Genomic DNA, 10,888 nt, shown 5'->3' on the forward strand with positions numbered 1-10,888 from the left:
AAAAAAAAAAAAAAAAAAGAAAGAAAGTTATCTCAGTTCTTGAGAGGCAACAGCTGCCATGCACAGGGTTGCAAGGAGTTCTCTGAGCTACCTGAACCGCTGCGGGTGGTGGAGGGAGGAGGCTATGGCAGGTGGCAGGTGGGGGTGGTAGACAATAAACAAAGACATTTGTGGAATTGTGTAGACAGAACGTGGGAGCTCTGTAGGGCCCCCAGTGCATCTATTTGTCTGCCTTTAGACTAAGACTCAAAGAATGAACTGATGACCTCGTATATTTCATTTTATTATATAGTCACTTGAACTTGTTTTCTATGAACTGTGTCTTCCTTGCAGCTTGCCTTTTAATTAAACTCTTAATATATCTATTTAAGACCTCCCCAGACTGATTAATCAAGTGCCACCAGGAAACTGAAATTCCATCATAAAACAGTTACTAATGTGTGAGGGGGGATTATTAAATTGCTGTTTTATTACAGAAATTGACAAAGATCAGTGATGAAGAGTGAGCATACTGGAGTCACGTGGCAGCACGCTCATCTAATTAATGAAGTGACAGTTTTATGCTGTGAAGTAGCAAAAGGACTTGACAAGACTCATGGCTTTTCTCATTGACTCTAAAAGCTGGAATGATGTTTCTTAACATTCGCACAAGGTTTGGCAGTAATATATTACCCTTGTCACACTTAAAGAAGGAGGGAGGGGCAGTTAAATTCTTCTTCCACTGTCGACAAATCCCAATAGGAAGACATTGCTGAGAGTACTCCCCTGGCCCCACCTTATCTAACTACCAACATCCACGCCTCCACCATACACTCTACAATCAGATATCTCTATTGTGAAGCTGCTTGCTTTGTTTTTTTTTTTGGTACATTTGTTGGGCAAAGATGAAGAAACCAACAGGGACTGACTTTAATTTTCCCAGGAAGAAAAAGAAATAAAAGCTTAAGGCATTGACACACAGTTTGTTAATGATTCTGAATTCATAAACCAATGGGACCTAAAACAGAAAACAGAGACTTATTCTGAATTAATCAGACATTTATAATATCGATGAATGTTTTCTGTGACAATGGTAAAACTGTCTTTATCAGAAGAAAAGACAGGCAACTTAATCCGTCTTTTTCAGTTGATTTTTCTTTTTTTTTTAGTATCTGTTGCCTGGCTACTTGTGTTGTTTGGCCAAATATTTGGGCCTCTGTGTGTTTTGATTCTGCTCAGATAGGCAAAGGGGATCAGATGGATTTGAGAACTGTGTCTCTGTTGAGTCTACAAGAGTCCTCAGGGGATCAGATGAAAAACAGTCTACTCATTTCTGGGATTACAAAGTTCCAGAAAAACAGGCTACATGGTACTAACAAAGGCAGTCTTGCTTCTGATATTTCAGCTGTTCAACTCTTTCATTATTTCCCCTCTAAATTTCCCCTATTAAATTAAAGAGGGAGAAAAGAACTGCTTTTCTCCTACTTAGTTGATACGGGTAGGTCCAGCCTCAGGTCTAAATCAGATCTAACCCAAAGTTATGTTTGTGGAGCTTGGTTCTGAAAACTCACTTTTTTTGAAGGTAAATGATTATAAATTTAAATTTCAACTCCCTGTAGGGCTGCTTGGCTGAGAAGGATTTCTGGGCTTGGCACAGCTCAGTAGTAATTATCAAGACTTGAACACAGTTTTTGTTTCAAGGGGAAAGACATTTGGCAGCAGCTCTTGCAGACTCTAAAAGGCCACAAGATTTTTTTTCCCCAGAGGTGCCAAAACCTCTAATTTACAGAAGTAAAATGTTAATGCTCCTCTCACCCATATCCTGGTCCCCACCAGCTTTGAGGAACAGGTATGGTTTTTTCTGCAACACTCTCATCACAGGAAACCACAGAGCTCACAACCCAGCAGGATTACTTTCAGTGCCAGTGTACCGTTTAGGACCATCCATGTGGGATGGCTTTCAAATCTCCACAGCCAAACGTGTTTCACTTGAAGGGATAAATCAGAGTTACTCAAGCAAATGATACCTAAGCTTTTTTTTACAATCCACTCAAAAGATGCATTTCTTTTTCTCTTTGAGGCAAGGGGCAACCAACATAGCATTTTTAAGTATCTAATAGGTGCCAAGCATCGTGCTAATCAATGCAGAGAGAGCCTAATCCCAAAGATACAGCTCTTGGCCATTAAAGGTGACAGATCTGTTTGGGTAATAATACAAGTCCAAAATCAGCAAAGTATGATTCCAAGGCCCTACATGAACAAGTAAAAACTAATATGTGTGTATGTGTGTGAGTGTGAGTGTGTGTGTGTGTTTGAGAGAGAGAGAGAGAGACAGAGAGAGAGTGAGAGAGAGAGAATATGTGGTACATTCATTCATTCATTCATTCAACAAACACTGGCCTAGTATCTCAGGATGCAAAGATGACTAATATGCTGTTCCCATCCTTAAGGAGCATACAAGCAATGGAGAACACATTGGATGAATAGACCATTTATCCATTCAGCAAATATTTGGGTACCTCTTGTAACCCAGGCCCTCTGCTATATGATGTGAACATAATGCTAAGAAGCTAGATACAGCTAGATGTATTGTCTATGCCTGTAATCTCCGCTACTCTTGAAGGCCGAAGCAGAAGGATTGCTTGAGGCCTGGAGTTCAAGATCAGCCTGGTGATACCACATCTCTAAAAAAATAAAAATAGAAAAGAAGCTAGATATGGTCCTTTGCTTTATGGGATTCATTATTATGCACTCATTCAAGAGAACAGTTCATGATGCTGAGTAGGAAACTAGATAGGCTTTCAAGTAAAATCAATCTATATTCACATCTTGGCTTTACAATGTACTAAACCTGTGGTTAATATGTTACTCACCCTCTCTAAGACCTGCTTTTATCTTCTGGGAAATAGGCATAACAGTACATAACATACAGGTGTTGCAATTATAAAAAAAATAGGTAATATAAGCACACACCCATTGTAATGTCTGGTACTCTGTAAGTACCCAATAAATAGTACTTAGTTACAGATATAAGTGGGTATTTGAAGACAAGCAATGGTAGTACGTAGATGGAACATTTAAGAAAACCAAAATTCAGGTGACCTGAGATGGGTTTGAAGAATGAGAGGAGTTAAGGACAGGAGGAGCAGTGTGTACAAAGGCCTGGAGGTATGAGAGAGCTGGTTGTTAAGTACTAGTGTGGAGGAAAGTAAGGGTGAGAAATTAGGTTACACAGGAAAGCTACGGCCTGGCCATAAAGGGCTTAATATGTCATATTAAATCTGGATTTTTATCCTGAAGATAATGAGAAGCCATTGGATTCTCAATTACAGGAACATTTCTTGAAGAAAATGGTACTTGAGCTAAGCCTTGATTGGTGAGTAGGATTCAGACTGGCAGAGAAAGAGGCTTGGGATGGAGGAGGAAGAGAAGCAAGTGTACAGTGCTCAGAGATACAGGGGAGCTCAGCACTTATAGGACCTAATTAGCCAAAAGGGGTTTGGCTCTAGTTTCTCTTTGAGCAATCTTAGGAGACCATCATCTTAACTGATGATTCCAGAAGGGTTTTAGGGTTAGAGCTGCTGAGATGTGTGGCTGGGATCAATCCTAATATATTTCTTTCTTTGAATTGTTTATAATCAAATGGGCTTCTGTCCTGGAGCAGCAGGTCTCTGGGTATTATTTATAGATATTTTGGAAGTAGAGATGATCCATTTGTTCACTGTTACAATAATGATGGTTCATATTTGCCTATAAAATCTTAGATGCTTCTGGCTGTTACAGTGAGCATGTCTTTTTCACAGCTCTATCTAGCACTGGATATAGACATGATAACTGTTTTCTAAATTCAAAATCATTCAGATGGTTTGACATATCTAGTAGTATCATGGGAACAACCACAGGATTGCCTGCTTGACACCAAGGTGTGTGGTGAGATCAGGCTTCCTATAACTAAAAAAGCATGGATATTTCAAAGGGAAACACTGCATGAAGTAGGCATGTACTCAGGCCCCAGCTAAGGAACGAACTGAGAGAAAGCTACTCTTTGACTCAGCATTGCCATCTCCTTAAAATTTAATCCAACTGTAGGTCAGTTCTAAAAGAACTTTTTAAAAAATTATACTTTTTTGTGTGTTCCAGAAATAAAAAAGTGTCTTTCATCTTTCTAAACAATATATAGTCCTTAAGGAACTTATATGTAAAATATGTATGTTATATATATAAGTTCCTTAATATGCATGTTATATATATTATATATATGTTAATAATATATATGTTATATATGTTAATAATATATATGTTATATATATTATTCTGCTTATATATATATCAGAATATATATATATTCTGCTTCCCACATTGCCTCTGTTTTCTCTGAACGTCCTTTTCCTGTTTGACTTGGTCTCTATATTTCCTGATAACGCTGCTCCTCAAATGTGAGATCTCAAATGTGAATTAATGGCATGGCTTGGAACGAGTGTCTGAAGGTCACACTTCACATTGTACAACTTTCAATTAATCCTGTCTTCGCTTCACTTCTCACCATGGCCAGAGGAGGTATCTGGGACCTCCAGACCCGGAGCTCTCCCTGTTCTCTGCATGGGTCAACTTGCTGCTCATTACTTTTTTTCTCTGCAGTCACTCAAGGTCCAGCCTTCCCTGCTGTGCCCAGGCAGTTATCACTCAGACATTCTTTTCCATCTTTTAGAATAGCATTGACCTCTCTTTTCTGGTGCTGTTTCTCTCTCACAGTCTTTGTCTTTGTGGGTTGATAACTTAGTGGATGCCAGGAGGAAGAAGAAATAAACACATGTGGGCAATTTATTTTACTCAAGGAGAAGGATATTCTTTTTTTAAAATAAATAACTATTTTCATTTAAAATCATTAATGTAATTTGATTGTACAGAAAGATACTCTGAGGCTGGCACTCAACGTTTTGACCTTTAAAACCTAGAAATAGGGAAATATGATTATTTGAAAAGTGGTAGAAATGTGCTCTCTGTGGTTCAAAAGGTGTAATGGGATATTTATCTTTAGGACAGTTTCTTTATTCTGGGATAGGATCATTTTGGTTGGGTTTCTTCATCATGTAGTGTTTTATTTCATTGCATTTAGTATAGCTCCAAATGTTTTTGAGGCAAACCAAATGCAAATGCTTTTTTTCATTCATTCATTCATTCATTCATTCATTCATTCACAATTCAGCTATTCATCCATTCATCTTTTCATTTATTTATACAACAAATATTTATTGAACCCCTATTCTATGCCCTGCCCTGCACTAAGCTCTGCATACAAAACAGGGAAGGAGGCACATGAAATTACTGTCCATGTGTTATTCACATGTTATTAACAATGTAAAAGTTGTGTTAAGAGGTTGGAGGATGGCTATAGCTCCAAAGCAGCCATTCTCCAAGTTTGGTATCCTGATTGGCAGTGTCTGCAACACCTAGAAATTTGATAGAAATGCAAATTCTCTGGCCTGCCCCAGACATACTGAATCAGAAACTCTGCAGTTGGTCACAGCAGTTTGTTTTAAAAAGCCCTTAAGGTGATTTCAATGTACCCTACAGTTTAAGAAACACTGTTCCAAAAAAAAAATGCTTTAAAATAAAAAAAAAATAAACTGACTTTCTGTATGTGAACTGGGAAATAAGGAGTACCTTGTTCTACTGAAAGGAGTGTAGCAGTGGGAAGAAAGGGCTCTGGAATTATGGAATTTCCAGATATATTTTTTTTAAATGTAGTTTGTCCTATGTTAGGACTTTGTGTTCTGAAAACAAGGACGTGCTACTATGTGTCTTATTGAGGACTGTCCATGATTTTTGTTGGTTTATTTTATGTGCTTTTAAATCCATTTGCTGGTGGGATATGAGAATAAGACCCTTATATTATGGCATTTATGTTGAAACTATTGCCTGGATGCTGACAGCACCAACAAATCAGCTATGAATTGGCCCTCATCGGGATTAGTTCCTCCAATGTCAGTGCTCTTGATACCCTTGCCATTGCCATGCCCAGGGCCAATACTGCTCTCAATGTCACATTGATATTTTATTGAAATTCATCTTGTAGCTTTTACTTTTTCTGGGATGTGGGTGTCAGTTAAGGAGAGGTGGACTGGGTACAGTATTAGTGATAACCTAATATTTTCAGATTTACCTAATTCTTTCAATCATGCCTTAATATGTATATCAATTGATTTCTTCGTACCTCAATTTCTCTTCCTTTTGGAAACATTATTTCCCAGGATGCTTTTTCCCCACTCCTTTAAACAGGTATCTGGGGAACTTGTCCTCAGTTCTTCACTGATGTCCACGCATGCCTTTATGCTTAGAGTAAAGCTGTCATCCTGTCACACTCATCATTCATTTGAATTTGTTAGTTATGGGCAATAACAGAAGCAGCAGCAAATGCTTTTCATTTCTTTTATACCTGGTGAGGCATTATGGTACAATGGAAAGAGAAGTAGATTTAGTGTCAGAGGTGAATCTAAAGGCTCTTGTTTCCAGGAAAGCCACATGACCTGGGAAAAAGCTTTCCTCTCTTATTGTCTTATTTGTAAAACTTTAGGATCATATGATTCCTTAAGACTGTCAATTTCTAATAACTGATGATTCTATTATACAGAGATCACAATTTGTATATAAATATTATGCTTGGAATTTCAGCCATGAATATCATATGTATTGGGGAATCAGAAGTATCAGCCGGTTTGGAGTATTGGGAGGACACTGGAAGAGCGGAATTTAAGGTCAGTTCCTTACCTTCCAAATCCCAGGTTTTGTAGAAATCCATTGCTTGAAAAAATAACTCATATGAAAAGCCTAGCTCTCACTATTAAGTTCATTGTTATGTGATTAAGTTTGGGTTGCTATGTTGCTGTTCTATGGTGAATTCAAATGCATCTTCAATCATTAAGATTTTTCCAATCAGTACACTCTTCCATTCCTATTCTTCCATTCGTCAGATGCAGACAATTTCTCAGAGCATATGGCTATAAAGGTTGTCTTGGAAATATTCATTATGGGTATACTTGTCTTGTGTCACATATTATGCTAGAGGTTCTATCATAAAATCTTGAGTCTTGTTTATTTGCAGGGAGGGACCCTGTGTTTAGCACAGTGACTCATGTATACTAAGTACTTACTGAATAAATTAAACACTTTCTTTATTAATAAAAGGGGGAGTGTCATTTGGGTAGTGGTTTGTAGGCTGGTGCCAGTCCATGAACTTCTTGTTACAAGCCCAAAATGAGAGATGTACAAAAATTGAGAATGAGTGTTAGAAACTTTTATATAAATTGGATATTGTTGCAGCATCAAAATATGTCATCAATAGATTTATCTCACTGAATAGTGTATACAATAAATTTTGCATACAGTATTGACATTTTATTCTGCAAAATTGCTAAATTAATCTGTCCTTTTTTGTATCTTTTTAGTAGATTTATTGGGATTCTAAGTACTCAATTGGGTCATTGGCAAAGAATGTTTTATTTCTTCATTTCCAATTTGCATGGGGTTTTTTGTTTCTTTTTCATAGTTTAAGATTTATAGGATAATGTTGAATAGAAGTGATAAGAAGGATATTTGTGTTTCATTCTCAATCTAGAAAGAAAGCATTCAATCTTTCATCATTAATTGTGATGTTATCCATAAATTTTATAAGAGATGTAATTTATCAGATGAGGACATTCCCTTCTATTTCAAGTATGCTGATAATTGTGTGCTGAATTTTGTCAAATGCTTTTTCTTGAAATCATAATATATTGATTACATATCATAATTATCAAATAATCATAATTATTTTGATTATCAGCATAGTGAATACCATGGATTGATTTTTGAATGTTAAACCAAATTGCATTCCTGGGCTGAGCCCAAATAGTCAAGATGCATATATTGCTGGATTTGATTTGCTAAATATATGTTAGAGATTTTTACATTTATGTTCATAAGGGATATTTGTCTGTAGTTTCTTTTATTGCAATATATTTGTCTGGTTTTGGATTCAGGATAATACTAGACTCCTAAAATCAGCTGGGGGATGGAATTCATCTTCTATGTTCTGGAAGAGTTTGTGTAATGGGTAGTATTTCTTCCTTACATGTTAAATAGAATTAACCAATGAAACTACTGGGATCTGAATATTTCTCTGTGTAATTCCTAAAACTATGATTTTAATTTTACAAATTAAATATAGGACTATTTATTTCTTCTTTAGTGAACTTTGGTAGTTTGTGTCTTTGAACAGCATTTTTACTCCTCAATGATGGCTATTTCTTTCCATAAAGTTATTCATAATGGTCCCTGATTAGATTCCTAATATTTGTAGGATCTACAGTGATGGCCTCTTTTACATTTATGACTTTGATTATTTGTATCTTTGATTTTCTTAATCAGTCTGGCAGAGTGTGTTCAGTTTTGCTCATCTTTTCTTTGAAACAGCATGCAGTTTGATTAATATTCTCTATTGTTTTGTATTGCCTATTTTACTGATTTCTGTTATTATCATTTAAAAAAATTTTTTTTAAAGACAGGGACTCTCTCTGTTGCCACCGTTGCAGTGCAGTAGCATGATCATAGCTCACTGTAAGTTCAAACTCCTGGGCTCAAGCAATCCTCCTGCCTCAGCCTTCCAAGTATCTGGGACTACAGGTGTATGTCACCAAGTCTGGCTAATTTTTAAAAATATTTTGTAGAGATGGGGGTCTTGCTTTGTTGCCCAGGCTGGTCTCTAACTTCTCCACTCAAGTGATCCCCCTGCCTCAGCCTCCCACAATGCTGGGATTATAGGTGTGAGCCACTGTATCCAACCAATTTCTGTAATTATATTTATTATTTCCTTCCTCCACTATTTTTTCATTTGCTATACCTCTTTTTTTTATTGGTTGTTTTAATGTTTTCAATGTACATTTTTAACTTATCACAGTCTGTTTTCAAATAAAATTATGCCACTTCAAGTATAACTGACAAATTTAAAACATGTGCTATGACTATATTTTAAAATACATATGTTATAAAGCCCATGATACATTGTTATTATTTTTGTTTAAACTGTTAGTTACTTTTTAAAGAGATTGAAAAGTTTAGTAACATCTTCTATACTTACCCAAATTTTGTTTTATATTTATTTATTATTTAGTCATCATGCATTCTGCATTCAATCTTACCCACATTTTGAATACTTTATTCCTTTAAGTAGATCCAAACTTGTATTTGTTACTATTTTCCTTTTGCCAAAGGAAATTTCTTTATCATTTCTTATAGTATAGGTCTGCTGTAGATACATTTTCTCAGCTTTTGTTTGTCCAATATATCATATTTTCATTTTTGAAAGCTATTTCTGCTGAATATAGAATTCTGAGTAGACCATTTTTTCTTTCAGCATTTAAATATGTTACTGTATTGTCTTCTAAGTTGCATACTTCTCATTAGATATCAAGTAAAATTTTTGTCTTTGTTTCTTTGTACTTAATATTTCTTCTTTTCTGAATGCTTTAAAGACGTTCTATTTATCATAGGTTTTCAGTAATTTGATAATGATGTGTGTTATTGTAGTTTTATTTTGCTTATTCTATTTGGAGTTTATTGATTGAGATTCTTTATTCATTGCATTCTAAGTGTTCATCAAATTTGAAAAATGAAATGACATTATGTTATCATTTTTTTCCATCATTCTACTTTTTCCTGCTGAAATTCCCAGTACATGTTTCTTAGATCATTCAATATTGCTCCACATGTCAATGATCTGTACACTTTTTTCTTTCACTTTGTTGTTTTCCCCTGTGTTTCATTTTGGATAATTTCTATTTCTGTATTCAAATTCACCATTTTTTCCTTCTGCAGAATACAACCTACTGTAATTCCACCTAAGGTATATTTTTTATTTTTGATATTTCATTTGTAATCTCTAGGTGTTTCACTTGGGTTACTTTGATATATTCCATTTCTTTCCACATCATATTCATGTTTTCCTCTACCTTATTGAGCATATAGAATATATTTCTGATAGTTGCTTAGGTATCTGTATTAGTCTGTTCTCATGCTGCTAATAAAGACATACCCAAGACTGGGTAATTTATAAAGAAAAAGAACTTTCTTGGACTCGCAGTTCCACATGACTGGGGAGGCCTCACAATCATGGTGGAACAAAGACACATCTTACACGGCGACAGGCAAGAGAACATGTGCAAGGGAACTGCCCTATATAAAACAATAAGATCTCATGAGACTTATTCACTATTATTATAACAACATGGGAAAACTCACCACCATGATTCAATTACCTCCCACCAAGTCCCTTCCATGACACATGAGGATCATGAGATCTACAATTCAAGATGAGATTTAGGTAGGGGCACAGCCCAACCATACCATTCTGCCCCTGGCCCCTCCCAAACCTCATGCCTTCACATTTCAAAACCAATCATGCCTTCCCAACAGTCTGTCAAAGTCTTAATTCATTTTAGCATTAACTCAAAAGTCCACAGTCCAGCTGGGTGTGGTGGCTCACATCTGTTATCCCAGCATTTTGGGAGACTGAGGCAGGTGGATTTCTTGAGGTCAGGAGTTTGAGACCAGCCAGACCAACATAGTGAAACCCTGTCTCTACTAAAAATACAAAAATTAGCTCGGCATGGTGACTCATGCCTTTAGTCCCAACTACTCAAGAGGCATAGGCACATGAATTGGTTGAACCTGGGAGGCAGCGGTTTCAGTAAACTGAGATTGCACCATCACTACGCTCCAGACTGGGTAACAGAGTGAGACTGTCTCAAAAAATAAAATAAGAAGTTCACAGTCCAAAGTCTCATCTGAGACAAGATAAGTCCTTTCTGCCTATGAGCCTATAAAATCAAAAGCAAGTAAGTTACTTCCTAGGTATAATGGGGGTGCAGGGATT

The sequence above is a fragment of the Homo sapiens genome, chromosome 8, assembly GCF_000001405.40.
Source record: "Homo sapiens chromosome 8, GRCh38.p14 Primary Assembly".
NCBI lineage: Eukaryota > Metazoa > Chordata > Mammalia > Primates > Hominidae > Homo > Homo sapiens.